At 36.6% G+C, this 20,487-nt stretch overlaps 1 long non-coding RNA gene across 1 annotated transcript in view; it reads left to right on the top strand.

Moving 5' to 3' along the window:
* LINC02511 (long intergenic non-protein coding RNA 2511) overlaps positions 1-20,487 on the top strand; it is a 416,898-nt gene that overhangs the window by 287,710 nt on the left and 108,701 nt on the right. Inside the window, exon 3 of the long non-coding RNA NR_149105.1 lies at positions 8,864-8,915. This is a non-coding gene — a long non-coding RNA (long intergenic non-protein coding RNA 2511). The remainder of the gene's footprint in view (positions 1-8,863; positions 8,916-20,487) is intronic.

The following is a 20,487-nucleotide window of genomic DNA, read 5'->3' as shown; positions in this document are numbered from 1 at the left end:
TTGTATTTTTAGTAGAGACGGGGTTTTACCATGTTGGTCAGGCTGGTCTTGAGCTCTTGACCTCAAGTGATCCGCCCGTCTCAGCCTCCCCAAGTCGTGAGTTATCAAGTCCTGCTTCCACATTTTCAAGGTTTTATTTTTGTAGTGTATTTGCAAACAATATGACAATGTGCTGTATAAAAATATTAGGTAAGAAAAATATATAGCAATGCCCAGAAACAAAGAGAAAAACCGTTCACTTTCACAAGTTTGATATTAAAACTGCTAGACACTTTAAGCTACATAATTATATTTATGTATTTAACAATTATATAATCGTTTCAATGTCAGATGAGATAAAGAAACAAATTATGTAAACAATACTTTTAGAGGTAATATTTCATAATAATTCACATGCACTCGGTACTGATTTGAAATTTAGGATACCTTATTAATTGATGAAAATAATCATCTGCCTAGAAAACAATTATAATCAACATAAAACATTAAAAGAGTACTTGAATTTTACATATATTATTCTAAAATTAGTTTTGTATTAATTGAGAATACTGTGCTGTTTGTCATTTCTGTTTGCCTATGTTTTGTCTCACCTACCTCTGTGTCAAACAACACCATCATTATAACTCCAGTTGAGATATCTCAATTATTATAGTTTTTTTTTAATCTGGATAACTAGCAAATATAATACCTTACCAGAAGATAACCCTTTTTGGCTCTCTTTAGATATTTTGACCTACTTAATCTAATTCTTGATTTCAAAAATTTATTACTGGGTTGTTTTCATACCCTATGGACTTCCTCAAATAACATAGATAAATGAGAAGTTCAAGTTGTCTAATACAGCAAACCAATTTTTCAGTATATTTCCTATATCCAAGAAAAGCTCATAAATTCCTAAAGAACTGTTTCATTGGAATTTGACCTTTGTTTGTCAACGTTATTTATATTCATTAAATTTCTCCCTATTACTAATTCAGTTTCCAAAGTACTTATGATCATAATTTTGCCTAGTATTCCCTTGTAGGAAAACATATTAATAATTAAAAGTCTAAGTTCAAGTCTTTTATGGGTTAATGTATACATGAAAATATTTTTTTTAAATACATCAATGCTTTAGTGTTCATGAGCAATATAATTCTAAAATGAACAGGAAAATACTGGCAAATAAACTTCATTATCTATTTTTATCACAACTTTGTTGCCTTTATTGCTGCTATTTCAGCTCTAAAATGAGGACGTTCAATGCACTGGGATTGAGAAAAACTATTAAAATTATTCTGTGTGATACCAACATGCCCTTTTCTGGACCTGTGTTACTGACTCCACTTGAAAACTGCCAAGACTTTTAGGACAGCTGATTTGATTTTATTGCTATGCTATTGAAGATGCTTAACCTGTGCATTTTGCTTTCCCCTTGCACTATCTTCTTTGTGGACTAACAAGCCATTAACCATGGGGACAGAGAGCTGTTTGTCTTGTAAAATTATTTCCAAAAGCAGCCCTAAAAGCATCCTTTCTTCTTTAAGAGATATTAGTGTCTCTCTCTCTCTCTCAAGAACATCTTAGTGCAAAACATTTTTTTTCATGAAGTGTTCAAACACCTAACATCTGAAATTCACATATAAGAGGCAGTAAAAGTTTAACATTCAAAAACCATATAAGCTCAAAATATGTCATTTTATGATTTTGAAGTGCTGCATATTATTGAAGTAAGAGTGCTTCCACATAGAGAGGCAAAAGCCTCATAGAGAAAATATTTGTAGTTATGTCCTCTGTCAAAGACATCTTTAAGCTGTTTTCTTAAAGGCACATTTTCTGGGCAAAATAATTTTTCTTTACAATGCAGCAGATTACTTGTTCACTCAGATATTAAGAGTGGATTATGTAAGCTTTTCTAAACTTGAATACAGCGTGCTTGTAAGAGAGTAAGTAGCTGCCAAGTATGTTACATAGGAGATAAACCTCTGTAGACTTGTAACTGAGGACATAAGGGTAAGTGATCAACTAATGCCCAAAATATTTGTCTGTACATTGTCCTCCCTCAATATAACCCTTAGAGTTAACCATCAAGCACCTGCTCCCTACACAATGCTTTAGAGTACTTCTGTTTTGCCCTCCATTTGTCATCCCACTTTCCAGTGTGACTGGATGGCAGGAGCTAAGGATTCCTGCCCACCTGAAGCCTGTTATACCTTCTGCATGGAATTTATATCTCAGAGCTCTCCTCCTCTTATTCCTCCATAGTTCATTTCCCCGAGGCTACAGAAAGGTGACTTTACTACTAGTGTGCTCACCATTAAGCCCTAATGTTAAGCGTGAGGCTTCTGTGGTTGACTCAATGGCTGTGGATGGAGCTTGGATGTGAGGGCTGAGATGTTCCTTTTAGTGAAGAGTTATAGAGGAATAGAAGGGGAAATGCTGGGTGACTACATTTGTACTCTTGACTTGGACTTGCAAACACAGATGTTATGTGCGGGCCTAGTCTTCCTTACTAAGTCTGTGTACTTCTTGAAAGACAAAAAAAAAAAATGCTTAATTATCTTTATTTTCCAAAGCCTGGCATTTAAAACAATTATTTAGTAGGATTTGTCCAACATGAACTAACAAATTTATTGTCCCTGGGCAAGATTCCACCTGTAGACATTTTGTGTTGGGTCTGCAGTATTTCATAATATTTAAATTTTATTTGGAATAAATCTCTAAAATTGGGGAAAATTTGCATAGTAATCTTGCTTGTCTGAAAAAAAAATTAAAAACACTCATCCACATTCCCAAAAGTCATCATCAAAGAGCAGCTGCTCTCTAGTTACAAAAATCTTGTGTGGTTAGTCCTGTTTGTCATGGTCCAGAGATTCTGTTGTTAAATCTTACAACCATTTCAATGGTGCAGTTTCCCATCTGTGTCCTATAGGAATTTGAATGTTATATCTGCAATAAACCTGTATGAAATTAATGAGAAATTAAAACATAGAATATGTAAGTATGGTGTTTACATTCTGACCATCTCTGAATAGTGGTTAAAACAAAATTCTCTTGTGAAGGATTGAGTTTCACAAATGAACTGGTACTGACTCTGTATCTATGAAGTATAATCTAGTGCTTACATTTTATGGCAAATTATCCATAGACTCATTATTGTTAAACAACTCCTGAATGTTAAATATACCTTTTTGAGATTCCTAATCAGAAAATTTATGAAAGAGAAACTTTTGATTATGATCTGCTTTGTATCTGAAATCAAGTCCCTCTAATTTAAATTATCCTAGTTCTCAAAAGCCTTGTTAAAGCTTCATGCCTCAAAATGCTATGGTGACCCAAATATATTTTTCTTTTCAAAATGTCCGTTTATCCCATTGGACTAAAACATTTTACTGTTAATGCCTTTCTTTTCAGCATCAAATCTTAGGTAATTTATGAAAGAAAAAAATGGTAGGTAATTTATTATGTATGGATTTATATTTTGATGTGATTTGGCTGTGTCCCCATTCCAATCTCAACTGAATTTTATCTCCCAGAATTCCCACGTGTTGTGGGAGGGAGCTAGGGAGATGCCATTGAATCATGGGGGCGGGTCTTTCTGGTGCTGTTCTCGTGATAGTAAATGAGTCTCATGAGACCTGATGAGTTTATCAGGGGTTTCCGCTTTTGCCTCTTCCTCATTTTCCCTTGCCACTCTCATGTAAGAAGTGACTTTACCTCCCGCCATGATTCTGAGGACTTCTCCTGGCATGTGGAACTGTAAGACCAAGTAAGCCTCTTTTTCTTCCCAGTCTCGGGTATGACTTTAACAGCAGAATGAAAACAGACTAATACATATTTCTTATTTCTTTTTTCATGGTAACTTTGAAAGATATGTGATATCTCTTATTACAAATGAAATAGGCTATTTTTGTATTACATGTTTTATTTCAATAAGTAGTTTTTAAATAATTCTATAAAATAGGTAATAATTTCCTATTGATGGCATTTGTATTATAGCTGTGACTACCAGAAAGAAAAGGAAATAATGCATAGGGAAGATATTTTAAAATAAATAATACACTGTTCTCTGTGTGATAAAAAGATTGAATCAAAGAGGGTGACTCATTTTAAAACTGGAGTTAAAACCACTTGTCCATGATGAACTCCTTCTCCAAATTCCCTTCTCAATGCTACCAAATAAATCTTTTAAATATACTACTGGATTTAAGAAAGAAAACATTATATTCTAGTTGTATTACAAACAGAGATCACAAGTGAAATACAATATAAGGTCTATATCAAAACAAATTTCATGTAGATATTTTGTAAAATCTCCCCTTTCTATTCTAAATGGTTGTGTTCCAAACTAGTAGATTAATAAGCTACTTGTTGGTTGTTGCTGATTATATTCATGAAACTTTTCAGTATCCTAGGTAGAAGATTAACTTAATGAGAAGAACCCTAACAATCTCAACCTCACTGCCCTTCCCCCGATTATATATTTTCCTTGTCTCTCCAACACTAACATTACTCTCCTGCATGGACAGCTGTAGAATAGAACTGTGCTAACAACAGATTTTCTTAGTTAGGAGCTTCATGCTGCATTGGAGCCACAGTCTGTCAGTGGTTCTCCCAAAAGAAATGAGCATGTTATTGATCTGGTTTTTCTTCATCTTATCTTTCAAGTCTTGATTTGACTTGACTTCCAGTGAATCAGTTAAAAGCTTACTGCTGAGGCATGAGAATTCAGTGACAGCTTTCAGGGCTGTATCCCTTATGAAGATATTTGACTGTGTATAAGATACAGTGTAGTTGTCAGTCCTTAGCATACAGCTGACACCTTAAAATGATCCATAATCTGTTACAGGATTATTCATGTGAGAGATTCTACATGGACTTTACAGCTTGTTGGGATGTCAGTGTCAGTATTGTACTGTGTACATAGGTATCTAACTATAAGTTGTCTTGTGATTTACAGTACAAGGTCTAGAAAATGACAATTTCAGAGGGCAAATCTATTATAAAAATTAGGTTAAAACAAGTGGCATAATCATGTGCAGATGTGCTGTTTCCAAAGAGATAGTTTATAAACATGTGGCTGAGAAGACTTGGTGAAATACTCTCTCTAATGAGTTACCATCAATCAAATTTGAAATTTGGAGGAAAGTGTAATCTACTTACAATCTGTGAGTATGAATAAAGATGTATGAATATACTGTTACATCCACAAATAATATGGTGAAATAAATAAAATTTATTTTCATGTTCTTTCCTAGGAATAACTCTTGGAGTTAAAGTATTTTTAGAGGCTAGCTATTTAAACCCAACATAATACTCTGAATTAGTTTGTGTAGCAGAAGTGTAGAAATTCATGTTATATAGCTTTAGAGGTATTGGGTATATACCACAGGCAATGTAGTCTTTGGTATTATTTTATGAAGGGAGTGACTAGGGCTGCTACTAAGTCTTCTAGGTGGCTGAGGTTCCAGCAAAATTACTTTTGGAAGTCCCTGTCTATATAAACAATTTGATTCATAAAACCATTTTTACAAAATTATTTAGAACACGTGAGATAGTGAGTTATCAATGAAGATTAAGAATAGTGGGTAGAAAAGAGGCTCTTATGTATTTATCACCCAATGAGTACACATAAAGAGTCTTCATAGTGCCCTTGCATCATCTTTTCTCTATTATTAATTGTGCATTACTGGCTAATTTCATATCTCTGGCCAAGAAATAAAAGTAGCAATGTTGTTACCACTGGCAAGTTTCCTTAGAACCTTCCAGTATTCAATGATACAGATCTTTTTGACTCTGAAGATCCTTAATACAGTGTACTTAATGCTGTATACATCATTATTCATTGTTGTGGGTAGAGTTGTGTTCTCTTCCTCCAAAAAGATATATTCCAGTACTAACTCCCCATACCCATAATGTTGCAGGATCCTTGGGGTGTCCCTTTTCTTGCCAGAAACCTATGTGGCCAGTGGCATCTTTGCCCAAGTTTGGCTTGGGCTCCCTGGGTTAATTCTGCCCACTTAGCCTGACAGTCTGTGCTCAGCTCATGCTGCCAACCTGGATCTTACATCTGCCAAGGGCAGGTCAGGTATGGAGTGGTGAGGGGTATGTGAGTGAGCGAGCGTGTTGTCTGGCTATTTCACACAGTGAGTCATCCCAGCTGCTGCAGCAGAGTGGGCAGCACCAGGTGCTGACATGTGTGCTGGTTCTCTGCGAGCCTGTGGCGGGACCAGATGGACCACAAGCAGCTTCCCTGTCTGCCACCAGGGAATGAAGTGCTGCCTGGAAGCTTGGAGACTCCAGGAAGTTCAGGGTCCCAAAGAGGGAGTCACAGTCCTGGCTTGGTGAGCTCTCAGGTCTGGGCTTCCCAAAGGGCTTCAGTTCTTCTCTCCTTCTCTTTACCCACAAGGTGTTGAGCAAGGGACATGTTTCAGCCCTGTTTGTGGTATAGCTCTTTCATCCCTGCCATTGGGCAGGTCCCAAGTTCTTGTCTTCCATCTAAGAAAAATGTGGTATGTGGACAAGTGGAGGGTGAGCAAGGTGAAGAGGAGCTTTATTGAGTGACAGAATAGCTCAGAGGAGGCACTGGAGTAGACAATTCCTCTCTGCAGCTGTTTGTACCAACGTCTGCAGCTCTCAGCAGAGAGGAGGCCCTGGAGTGGGTAGCTTCTGTATGCAGCCATTCGGCCTAATGTCTACATCTCTCAGCAGAGAGGAGGCCCTAGGGTGGGTAGCTGGTCATCCCAACGTCCGCTCTGCTCTGGCTGATTCCAGGGATTTTGTGGGCCTTAGCAGGGAGGAAGTGCATATTGATTGGTCCACGGACAACCATGGGCAGGCCTTGAAAAGGCACCACAAGTTCCCACTCCAGTCAGTGGGTCTGACAGCCCGGCCCTCAGCCTTTAAGCCCACCCTGGCCTGAAGGTGGAGCTTCACAGGGGACCACTCCCTTCCACCCAAGAGCCTGTCTGCCTCCTGCTGCCATTCCTGGTGCCCAGGCTCTAGGTTCCAAGGGGCACCTGCAGGCCAGTACCAAGCTGCCCTCAGCCCCCCATCAGCTTCCCTTCTATGCTCATTGGGAACCAAAGTCCAGAGGGGGCTGAGTTGGCAGAGGAATTATGTATCAGCACTCCCCCAAGAGCATGCACACCCAGCTGGGCTGTGACAGTGCCCAGGCTCAGCCTCGACTTTGCTCTGAGATCAGAGTAAGCACCAATAGCAGGGAAAAGCCAGGCACTTGGAGCAGGCACTTCTGAACCTGCAAGGGCAAGGGGGGCCTTCCCAGGTTCCCTAGAGTGCAGGGATGCCTGTGTCCACAGTCACGGTTTGGGCAGCTGCAGCTGCTGTTGTGGGGAGGGTGGGGCTGGGTGCTCTTGACTGCTTTGTGAAGCAGTAGGCCCAAGTGTGCAGCCTCAATTTGGGTGGCTGCAGCTGTGCCCACGAGGGCAGGTCTCTTGCCTGCTCCTGCCCCCTGCCAAGAGCACAGGAAAGCCCAAGTCTTCAGCCACGAATTGGGTGGCTGCAGCTGCATCTGAGAGGGTGGGACACCTGCCTGCTTCATGGAGCAGGAGGCAGGATCCACAGCCACGACTTGGGTAGCTGCAGCTGCACCCAGGAGCTCCTGCCCTACCACCTTGGAAGGGTCAGGGCTCCCACTTGTCCCTGGCTCCCTCTGGCTCCACAGAGTGTGCAGCCCCAGCCACACCACCATGCTGCAGTGGTGTGATGGCAGCAGCCACTCCAGATGGGCTTTATTGGGCCTTATTTGAGACCTTATTTGTAAATAGTATTTGCAAATACAATCAAGTTAAGATGTGATCACACTGGATTAGAGTGAGCCCTAATGCAATGCCGCTTGTCCTTGTAAGAGGAGGGAAAGTTGGACACAGACACAGAAGAGAAGAGTGACATGTGAAGAAAGAGGCAGAGATTGTAGCAATGCGTCTACAATCCAAGTGACACCAAGGATTGCCAGTGACCGCCAGAAGCTAGAGAGAGGAATTGAACTCACTCTCCCTTCAGGTCTACAGAAGGAACCAACCTAACACTTTAATTTCAAACTTCTGGCCTCCAGAAGTGTAAGATAATAAATTTCTGTTGAAATAAGCCACCTAGTTTGTGATAATGTGTTATAGTATCACTATAAAACTAATGCACGTGAGGCTGCATCATCTAAAGTGTCACCGATGAATGCTGGCTTTTAATGATTTTCTCAAGACTAGCACTATGATTTATTAATGATGACCACAGATATAAATCCTGCCCATAGTATCCAGGAAACTTTGAATGATAATTCTTTTTTTTTTGGTCATACTAAATTTACCATTTAGAATTGTATAGTATAAATGTAGAATAGCCCATTGGCCAGCCACATCTTCTCTTGAACACTTTAGACTATAATCATTGAATTGCTACAACACCAATAGCACCCCTGCCTGCCTTTAGTGAGGAGGATAGGCAAACAGCCTGTAGGTGAAGCATGAGGAGGAGTCCAATTTGCACAGGGAATGCCAATCCTTCTTTGGGTCAGTCTGAAGCCAGACCCATGAGAGCACAGTATCATAATTGGAGATAATTGAGGATATCAATTGGAAGGCCCTTTTGATATTGCAGAGCAACAATCTTAAAAGCCCTTTCAGGAGATATATGTGTTCACCACTGGGTGGGTTGTAAACCACATGGCACAGAATCTGCAGAAGACATAGAGTGAACACTATAAGCTCCAGCAATGGAAGCTGCACAAGATAAGGGACCTGTTTATCCACAGGTGCTATAGACTAAAAGTGGTCCATACCATTGGCAAAGAGAAGGCAAGAGCCAAGACATGTGGCTCAAGCTCAAGGGTGAAAGAAACCTATTTATTTTGGGGCTTGTATCATTCCAGATACAAGAGGATTCACTCCAAATTGTACACCACACTCAGGCATGGGACTAAGGTAGGAAACCTGCTTGCCGCTTCCCCTAAACAGACCTAAGAGAGATCCTGAAGTAATGTTGTATGAAATGTTTTATTGTGAATATTAGCTAGTCTATACTTATGTTTTTCTCATGCTAACACATAAGACGCAGCTCAAAGGTCTAAAAAGAAACTGTACTCTCAACCTCAAGGGTAAAACTTTTTGGTCTCAGTATAAGTAATCCCAAGAAACTGGATCTGTCATTTATAACAGCAAATTGTATAAAGGCACTGTTCCTCTTTTCCTTGCCAAATGTAAACCAGGTCCAGGTTGTTACTGGCACTAGAACCTTGAAGAAAAGTTATGTTGATTAAGATGTTGACAATTTGGGAAGCAGAACAGAAAGATGGAAAGAACTTATGTTTTAAATGATGAAGTTGGACTTCTGAGTCAATCAGTAGGAAGTCTGAACCAGCTCTGGATTTCCAACTTCTCATTTATTCCAACTGAGTAGGGTTTGGGCAGTACAAATATATCCTAATTGATAACAGCATGAAGAGGATTTGGAGAAGAATATCCTTTGGGACAAGAAGACCAGGTAAAAGTCTATTGTTTGAATTAACGGTTTGGATTATAGTAATGGAACTATGCTATTGGAGAAATTAAACCTAATATGTCATAAAACAACAAAAATATAGTAACTGCTATTTATAGAGCATTTGTTCTGTGTAGGTCACTGTGTCCGACACTTTCCATATTTTTCCTTAATTATTACTCACTGAAATACTGCCTCACAGACATTTTATCGCATTTTATAGATTAGGAATCTAAGGCCTAGTGAGTTTAAGTAAATTGCAAAAACCATGTACCTAATAACTGGGAGATCTCAAATTTAATCTTAAATCTATTTGGTTCTAAAGACCCTGATGTATCCATTGTGGAATTTTTTGAAGAATGACATAGTGAAAACTCACAGATTAGTTTTGAAAACATGGCTAATTAAATCAAATATTTCAAATATAATATTTTGTATTTTTATTCTCGTATTTTTATTGCCAGTCTCATAATCTATAGCAAACACATCTACTTAGCACCACTTGAGAGCAAGATCATAAACTTATTTGTCCATTTGTTCCTTCATATTTCTACTCCAATCCTGTTGGGTTAGAAAACAGACAATGAAAATATCTTTCATCTTCCAAATAAAACTGAACGTTCCAATACTACTTACTAAAAGTATAGATGTCCTGAATTATGAAGAAATTACGGGCTGAAGCAACTGAACTTCAGATTAGTTGAAGTTCAGTTGATTAAGATGTTGACAATTTGGGAAGCAGAACAGAAAGATGGAAAGAACTTATGTTTTAAATGATGAAGTTGGACTTCTGAGTCAATCAGTAGGAAGTCTGAACCAGCTCTGGATTTCCAACTTCTCATTTATTCCAACTGAGTAGGGTTTGGGCAGTACAAATATATCCTAATTGATAACAGCATGAAGAGGATTTGGAGAAGAATATCCTTTGGGACAAGGAGACCAGGTAAAAGTCTAACATGTTTTTTTCCTTATCAGTCTCGTTTGGGCTTTTGTGAAATGCTTCTCCTGCTGCTACTGTGTGTGTGTGTGTGTGTGTGTGTGTGTGTGTGTGTTTAAGAGAGAGACAGAGAGAAAGACACAGATTGATTTACCTAAAGAGTTATCTGTTGCAGCAGAGAGCATCTATCATTGCACTAAACAGGTGAGACACACTGGCTTCTTGACATTCTTGCATTGGTTGCTAAATCACAATATATTCTGAGCCCTGCAGTCTACTCACACTACTCTTTCCACATAAATTGATGGCATTGTCTTCCATGTCCTGGGACATGAGACTCAAGGATTAAAGATGTGACTCTGACTCCAAGACTTTAATTCACACTCTGTACACCTACTTCCTCCAAATTCAGAAAGAACTGTTTGCCCTGTTCTCTGTAAAATATGGCATATATATTTCTGTAGAAATATAACCCACCAGCAAGCACCCTGTTTTCTGTTTTTATCTAGAGCAAGAGTTGGCAAATATTTTGTAAAGATCCAGATGTTAAATATTTTAGGCTTTATGGGCCAGATGTTCTCTGTCATGACTATTCAACTCTGCCATTGTGGTGTGAAGGCAGCCATAGATAATATAAACTGATGTGGGTATGTTCTAATAAAACTTTATTTACAAAAACAGGTGGCTGATGAAATTGCCCCATGGGTTATAATCTGCTAACTCCTGATTTGGTGCATCACTATTCATCTTCTTTTGCCACAAATATATTCAGTTTTAAATTATCCTGAAATAAATTATAATATAAAAATACAGGAAATACAATTATCCTGAACATATATACATGTAATTTTTCTATTGCCTAACTTTTCAAACTGACTTTCAACCCCTTACAATCTATTTTTAGCATAATCTCTCTATCCCTTCCCTATATACACACAGACACACACAAAAACACACCTCAAGCTCACACTAATTGCTTTCTCAACCCAGTCTAGTTGCACCACCACCCAACAATAACATAAGTTTCATTTTATGTCTCTATGTCCTTCTTCCTATAGTTTCTATTGTCTGAAATGCCTGTCTGGAGTTTCCCTACCCAAATGCTGCTTATGTTTCAAAATCTAAATGTATAGACCTAGGGCAAACATGAAAATTGATAGTTTTCTTGAGTACCCTAATCCTTAATAGATTTTTCTCAACTAAATCTTATGGCATTTATGTTTTGTGGCAAGTTATTTATTCTGTGTGTCTGTGTGTGTGTGTGGGGGGGTGGGGTGGGTAGGAATTCAGAAGTGAATAAAAAGTACAAAGCCCTCACCTATGTGGTGTTTACATTTTGGTGCGGAGACAATCCTTTGAGCATTTCTTTCCATATGATCTTTTGCTTTTATTAAATAATGTTGTGCTGCACAGCATTCCTTCTTACTAATATTATAATGTACCAGAGAGTTTCCTGATAGGTGAAAATGTGGAAGTTCCTGAAGGGAGGCATGCCTGGAGAGGATCTGGAAGTCCCATGCTCTTTCCCACACAACCTTGCCCTGTGCATCTCTTTTTCTGTATCAAACACTGCTCCCCACTAAAACGAACCAGGGCTCCATGGAGAAATGGCGGATACTAGGACTGGGGAAGTGCAAGTACAAGAGAACTTGGAACATCATGAGTGCCAGAGAATTAGGAAGTGTGCAAAGAATGTAGGGATTTTTTTAAAGACAGAAAAGCCAACATTAATGGGTTTCCAGCAGCCAAATATGGGAGAATTTGAGCATCAAAACAACTAATGATAGTAACAAATTATAATTCATTCAGTAACATGAGAATCCGGAAGTCCATGCATCTAAGTTAATGAATTAATGAATCATATGATAATGGCAAATTCTTCCACACAGTGGAATGCCAGCTAACAGCTATAAGGATTTGGTACATTTGAACATCACTGTTTGGCAGTCACTATACAATTAATTCCAGCAACATTAAGGTGTGCTAAAATGAGTGGGTGAAAGGGTTGAATAGGAGGGTTTTAAATGGTTTCAAAGTATCTCCCACCAAAACATTTATTAAACACAAAGGAACAAAAAAGGAAATTTACAGAAAAGGAAAAAAACCTTGATGTATCATCTTTATAAAGTGGACATAGTCATTACCGTCAGTCGTGGAACGGAGAAATATCAGGTGCCACCCAGAGATTGCAAGGGAAAGCACATAGCAAATTTGATATGCATTCCCTGGGTCTAATCATAAAGAAATATTGAACAAATCCAAATTGAGGGATGTTTTACAAAATGACTGGATTATGTAGGGGTGCCTAAAGATCTCAGCCAGCCATTATAGTTCTTCAGTGGGATCTTTGGCTGGGTCTAGGAACCAAACTGACACAAACCAGATTAACAAGGAAAAAAGCATACAAGTTTTCTTAATTTTACATGGAGATCCTCATGAGAGAGGGAAGACCTGAAGTAATAGCCAAAGCAGGAAGCTTTAGTTCTTTTTAAACAAAGAATGATAAATCTTGTGAAAAAAATGATAAAAACATTGGAGTCTGGACTAGTTGTTGTGAATTCTAGGGAAGTAACTAGGAGCTACACAGAGGGGTATAAAGCCAAGTAGAAGATAAGGTTTATTTACTACTTTTATTTATATATTAAAATCCATTGCAGCATCACTTCTCAATCACTGGTAATACAGGTTGTGTTCTTGTGTTGGTGAGGGAAGGCGGCATTCTCACAGGAATTCTAATGGCTTGCTATAGATGAGAAAGGGAAGTTCAGATAAGTCTCTCTGATACTGATGCTTCTCAAGTGCTTTCAGCTCAAAATAATCCATATGCTAGGTTGGGGCAATTGAGGGTATTTCATCCTTAACTTCTTCAGCAATAATCTTCAAAAATACTAAAGTACTTAAAAATCAAAGAAAGATCAAGGGACTGACTTAGATGGAAAGTGATTGGAGAGACAAGATACCCAGGTACAATGTATGATCCTGAACTGGAACCTTTCCTCCAAAGGCTGTTCCTGGGACAGTTGGTGAAAAGTGAGTAGAGACTCTAGCTAAATGATATACAGGAGTTCTATGAACTATTCTTGCAACTTTTCTAAAAGTTAAAGCTATTTTACATTAAAATCTTGCAATAGTGGGAGGACTGAGCTACCTGTTTCAATGAAGAACAGAGTCTTCTCCTTCCTGCATTGAGAGGTTAGGAGGGTCCTCCCATACATTCCTGCCATTGGGCAATATGTAAAAAGTAATTATTTTCAGACACTGTGAAATAGCATAGTATAAAAGGGAAAAAAAGATCCACCAACATTACTATTGTTATATACTCAAAGAAAATGAAGCTGTGTCAAAGAGATCTGCACCCCATGTTCACCGCAGCACTATTCACAATAGCCAAGATATGAAATCAACCTATGTGCCCACCCATAGATGAATCCATGAAGAAAATGTGGTATGCATACACAGGGGAATACTATTCAGCCATAAAAAGAATGAAATATCACTATTTGCAACAACGTGGATGAACCTGGAGGACATTATGTTAAAGGAAATAAGCCAGGCACAGGAAGACAAATACCCACATGATCTCACTCATATACGGAATCTAAAACACATGATTTCATGAAAATAGAGAGTAGAATAGTGGTTAGCAGAGGGTGGGGAGGGGAGAGGAGAGGGAGGTGGGGGAAAGATTTGTCAATGGGTACAAATTTACAAGTAGAGAGAAGAAATAAGTTTTGGTGTTCTAGTACACATTAGGGAAACTATGGTTAACACTGTTGTGTATTTCAAAATAGCCAGAGGAGAGGATTTTATATGTTCTTACCACAAATAAATGCTAAATATATGAAGTGCGGAATATGCATGATGCCCAGATTTGATCATTATACAATATATACATGTATTGAAACATCACATTGAACCCCATAAATGTGTACAATTACTTTGTCAACTAAAAAAAAAATAAATATTTTTTAAAACTAGTATAATATACATAAAGATAGAGATCTATATTATGTTTTGCACACATCTTACAAAATAAGCAATAGTCAAGTGTGTGTTTGTTTTTTGCCATCTTTCAAAAGTAAAATTCTGAATTAAAAGGTGAAGTTTTGTTTTAAATTACCTTCATTTTTTAAATGTTATATATTGTAATTTATTACATTTTCCCAGTTTTTGTTTTATTAATAAGAGTAGTGAATCTTGTAACTGCAAATTACTTTTTACATTTCTCAACAAGTAGAGTTTCACAAAAGAGTAAAGAAAATTTTAACAGATTGAGTGAATGGAAGGAAGAGAGAAAAGACAGTTGGGCTCATCTCTGCTTTAACTTTTGGTTTTCTGATTTTTTTAAAAAGTCTTTTCTTGATGAAACTATTGTTAATTAAAAAAGAGATAGAATGATGTAGAATGATAAGAGAAAAGCACTTCTTTTTTCTTCCTTTCCTGTTTACATGCATATGACAAAACTATTTAAGGAGAAAATATGCAACCTTAGGTCTAATGTGGGTCACTTACAAAATGATCCACTATTTTTTCTTTAACCCATAGTTGTCTAATTGTCAAATTAGTTTTTTTAAAAAAATTTCTAAGTCAAGTGGCAAAATGTGTCAGAATTATATACAGATCAAATAGGGCACAACTCTGGGCTCTGAGTCACCTGAATTAAACATTGTTACCAAGGTACATCTCTCACTCTGTCTTATAATTATTTTCACATGCGTCTACTTCCTAATTTGCCTTCACTGTAACGATGATGGCATGAGTCCAATATTTAATTAAGACCTATCTCCTATTAACTAATGGTTAAATTTGATACCTTATTGCTGTATCCTAACAGGGTTGAGAGTATGTGAAAGTTTTGGCTGAGATCCAGTCATCACAGCTGTTCTTATATAATCACTGCTTTGAGAAAACTGTTTTCTCCACCTCTAAATACGCTATTTTCAAATGTAAATTTGTGATGAGAACTTCTCTTATTCTCTTTTACACAAAAATCCTTTCCCTTTGGGGAAATCTTTAACATAGGCTACTGACTGTTTTTCACAACTATTACTCATCTGTGATATCATCATAAAGTAAATCACCAGAAACTATCTAATCTCAAGTGTCACAGGAAGAGTTGTACTTTATTGTTAGGAAGTTAAGGTGGAGAAGTTTCTAGAACAAAGAAACAATATGAATATAAAATATATTGAAATAAACATGTTAATTTCATGTCTCTTTCTATTGTTTTATTTTCACTCTCAAAGAAGAAGCAAACATTGGAATAGAAAGCAAACCTGTGTTATTCTGAACGTTTTTTCTTTTAAAAATGAATAGTTTGCACTTCTTTATATGTTAGAAAGAAAGTGCCTCTTTTTATTCATAATGTGCTTCAACTGACTGCATTTTCTAATTCTGGATATTATGAACATTCAGAAACACTATACACAGAATTGTATTCTACAGTCCTGGAGTGGAGGTGTGAAAAAAGAAGAGTTTCTTTTGGAGTGACACTTAAAAACACTGAAATAAACACTGGGTCAAAGTCTGACATTATACACCTGGTTTAAATATAGCTTTTCATTGGGCGTAAGTTAGGTTTTATAATAGATTAAAAATACTTATATAATTATGATTGGCATTTATGGTATTGTGATTATGTAAACTCTAAACTCCAGAAAAAAAAAAAAAGGTGTATGTGACACAATTTTGTATTCTAGCCCTGCTAAGTTCACCTCTGTATGATGAACCAAACTGCTTATAAAAGGATACTGTAATGGAAGAATTGCAATTATGACACTAGCACCAAAATTTCTCATTTCATCCATTATATCTCATTTTGTCTTGGACCACACTAATGAGTCTTGATTAACTCTGTCTCTTATTCTGCCTAGGAAGTCCTACTTGGCATATCAATTGTCTTCTCTGCAATTTTTCAATTTTCAAGTTTGTTCCCTCAAATTTGAATGATGTCTAATTATACCACTCCTGGCTGTCCACTGGCTGCTAAACGGAGATTAAAAACCCTTTTATAGAGGATCACAGCAGCCGCCACAGCACTCCATATCACAACTCAACATGTGTGTAGTGTTGAGGTGTAATATTATTGATCATATAGAGATCTAGTAATAACATATAACTAACAGTGAACTTGGAGGGTGCAAAAATTTATTTAATTTTTTAAAATAAGTGTACTGTAAATGACAATATCACTCTGCCCTGGCTTCCATGTAAAATTTTCTTCTCTACTGATTCAATTTACATACATCACTTCAACCAGTATCCCAATTCCGGTCCCTTTTATAGTTGGCTATCTATAAACAATGGTATTAGGAATGTTAAAGAATATCTTTGTTTCCTTATTTGTTATGTAAAAGTCTAAACACAAAGGGTTTTGAACAAGGGTGGCTTCACACGTGTGAGGTCTGTACAGTTGTCAATGGCCCCACACTCAGAAGTACTTGTGCTTTGTTTAATGCTCTGCTGTCTTTGTCTTGAAATTCTTAATAATTTTAGACAATTCATTTTTTCACTGGTCTTAAATTATGTAGCCAGTCTTCTTTTGACATTTGGCAAAAGTGATTAAAAAAATCTGATCATAGGTGACTTGGGATATTAATTTGGGAGACAGGAACTCTCAGGATAAAGGGGAAATTTTAATTCAATAAGTATTTATTAAAGGTCCACTCTTTGCAGGCACTGCTCTAGATACTGGAGATATGGTAGTAGGGAAAGGCAAAATTCTTTTATCATGGAGCTTATGGTTTAGAGAGAAGATAGAGAAGTAAATTTAGAGACTACTATAAAGTATGCCAGAGGACAAAAACTGTAGAGAAAAATGCAGAATTAGGAGACACACACACACACACACACACAAAGGAGAGTGGGGAAGAGAGAGAGAGAGAAAGGAGAGGAGAGACTGCCCACCAGGACAGAGATGGGATAGGACTATAGCATCAGTCTTCCTCTGCTGAAATTATCTTTGCCTTCGGACAAACTCACTCCCCTGCCCGAACTTTTAATATGAAAAGAGATGCTTACTTTATCCTCTGGGTGGAAAAAATGGAATTGGTGTGAGTTTTTATTAAGAAGATGTTAAAATTTGTAGTTAGTGAAAATATTTCTCTTGCCCAGAGCAAATTCTTTACTGTGGCAAATGGTGAGCGTGGGGGCCAAGGAGGGGGCGAGGGCATAGCTAATGTACTCCTCTTATTTATTTTTTCCTTTTATTTTTGATTGACACATAACAATTGTGCATATTTATGGAATATAGATTGATATTTCCACATGTGTATACAATTATAATGATCAAATGAGGGTAATTAGCATATCCATTACCTCAAACATGTACTGTTTTGTGGACTGGACGTTCAAAATTCTGTCTTCCAGACTTTTGAAAATATATAATAAACTATGGGTAATCATATTCAACCTATAGTGTGGTAAAACACAAGAACTCATTCTGGTCATCTAGCTGTAGCTTTGTATCTGTTAACAAATATTTCCTAATCTTTCCCACCCTCTCCCTTTCCTAGCTTCTAATAATCACAATTCTACTCTCTACTATCATGAGTTTAATTTTTTAAAATTTAGCTTTCACGTATGTGCGCAAACATGTGATATTTATCTTTCTGTTCCTGACTTATTTCCCTTAATATACTCCAGATCTAGCCATGTTGCTGCAAATGACAGGATTCATTCATTTATATGTATACATAACACATTTTTTATCCATCTCTCCGTTGATGGACATTTTAGTTGATTCCATGTCTTAGCCAGTTGTGCATGGTGCTGCAATAAACATGGTGATGCAGGTATACCTTTGATATACTGATTTCCTTTCCTTTGGATAAATACCTAGTAGTAGACTTGCTGGGTCATATGGTGGTTCTGTTTTTAGTTTTCTGAGAAATCTTCTTGCTTTGTCCATAATGGCTGTGCTAATTTATATTCCCATCAACATTGCACAAGAGTTCCCTTTTCTCCACATCCTCCCCAGCATTTGTTATTTTTTGTCTTTTTGATAATAGCCATTCTAACTTTTTGATAAGTCATTCTAACTAATCCAGTTAAAATATATTTGTTATCTCATTGTGGTTTTTATTTGCATTTCAGTGATGATTAATAATGTTGAGCATTTTTCATATGCCTATTGACCATTTGCATATCTCCTTTTGAGAAATATCTGTTCAGTTCCTTTACCCACTTTTTAATTACATTATTCAGTTTTTTTTCATTTTTGTTTTGTTTCCTGCTGTTGAGTTTTTTGCAGATGTTACATATAAGTCTGTTGTTAAATGAGTACTTTGCAATTTTTTTCTCATTCTACAGGTTGTCTTTTCATTTTGTTGATTGTTTTCTTTTCTGTAAAGAGTGTTTTAGTTTAATTTAATTCCATTTGTCAGAATTTGGGGGAATTGCCCGTGCTTTTGAAGTGTTAGCCATAAAATCTTTGCCTAAACCAGTGTCCTGAGCATTTCCCGTTTCCTTTCAGTAATTTTATAGTTTCATGTTTCAGTCTTTAATCCATTTTGAGTTGAATTTTGTGTTTGAGGAGAGATAGGCATCTAGCTTTATTCTTCTGCATGTGGATGTCCATTTTTCCAAGGACCATTTATTGAAGAGGGTCTCATTTTCTCAGTGTATATTCTTAGCACCTTTGTCAAAAATCATTTGGTTGTAAGTGTAAATTTGGTGAATTTACTTCGGAGGCAATTTTCTTATTTCTGCCAGCTAAATTGTTTTTGTCTTAAGAAAACACAACTAGATAGCTGATGGGTCTTGGTGTTTGTAACAGGTACCAGACACCTTTTCAAATAAATTTGAAGATTTAGAAGAGCATGTGAGGGTCATATGCCTAAGATAATCAATTCCCATACTATTTGCCATTTCCAAAAATAATATGTAATAGAACATAGTCTTAAAGTGTTATGTATTCTACATTTCAAATGTTACTTCTCTTAAGAATGCATTTTTATTTGCACAGATCCAATGTGTGTGTGTGTGTGTGTGTGTGTGTGAATTTAATGGACAAGTCATGAATTTGGGCCATGATGAAAGAATGCGGTTGTCATGAGCAATAATCTATTTACAATGCCTTCTAATTATCATAGCATCTTTCCAATGATAAACTAAAGTTCCTTCAAAGGCACTATAAATGGAATTTCAAGCATTCTTACAATGTATGCAAATAATGTATGACCACTATGCTTTAAGAGCTCATCATATAGACTCTGGAAAGTGAATTAAATTTAATACAATTATTAGTAAATGAGTAGATTAGTTGCTAAATCTGTGGGTCTTCAAAAGGTTGAACTGCTTTATTTTTATAATAAACTTCATTATGTTTATTTAGCTTAGGATCCTTAAAGTTTATAAACAGAATTAAATTTTATAAAAGTACACATCACCAATCAGTGACTAAATTCTGTAAGGTTAAAAAATAGATTCATATAAGCAGCATCATCAGGAAAAATAGTTATCTTTACTTAAACACTAACAGTCTTCATTAAACACTATTGTTTTTGGCTGGACATGTTACCACTCTAATAATGTATTAACCAGATACAATCACTACTGTGTATTACCATAGTTGTTTTATGTAGATTATATGCCCTCATTTCTGCAATCAATCTTCTATATATTTCCTGGATCACATTCGGTTTCTTGTTTTGTCTTGTGATAAAAATATACACTTGATTTTTATTTTTCAATCTCTACTTTTCTTTTACATTTTTTGAACATATTTTCAGCAAGATTTGAAGGAAAGTACATTAATTTGTAGTTTTATTTATTCTGGATGGTTTATATTCCTATTAGCCAAGTAGTTTCCAAGATGTGCTATTCCTACCATCTGTTCCAATAACTGAGGGAGAATTTTTAATGGCTAATGATGCATGCGTGTTAGTATCTCTTTAAGATATTTTGTCACGTTGATAGGCTCGGTGGTGCTAACAGAATCATCTAGCTATTGGAATTTAGTTTTAAAATCTAAGAGTAATAGAAATAAATCTGCAAAAGCTTGAAGAAATGTTTTGGGTTTTAATTGAATTGCACACATCGTGTTAAATTATCTTCACATATCTTATTATTATTATTAT

This window comes from Homo sapiens, chromosome 4 (genome assembly GCF_000001405.40).
Source record: "Homo sapiens chromosome 4, GRCh38.p14 Primary Assembly".
Taxonomy (NCBI): domain Eukaryota; kingdom Metazoa; phylum Chordata; class Mammalia; order Primates; family Hominidae; genus Homo; species Homo sapiens.
The sequence above is the reverse complement of the archived record's forward strand: the minus strand, read 5'-3'. Positions and strand labels throughout refer to the sequence as shown.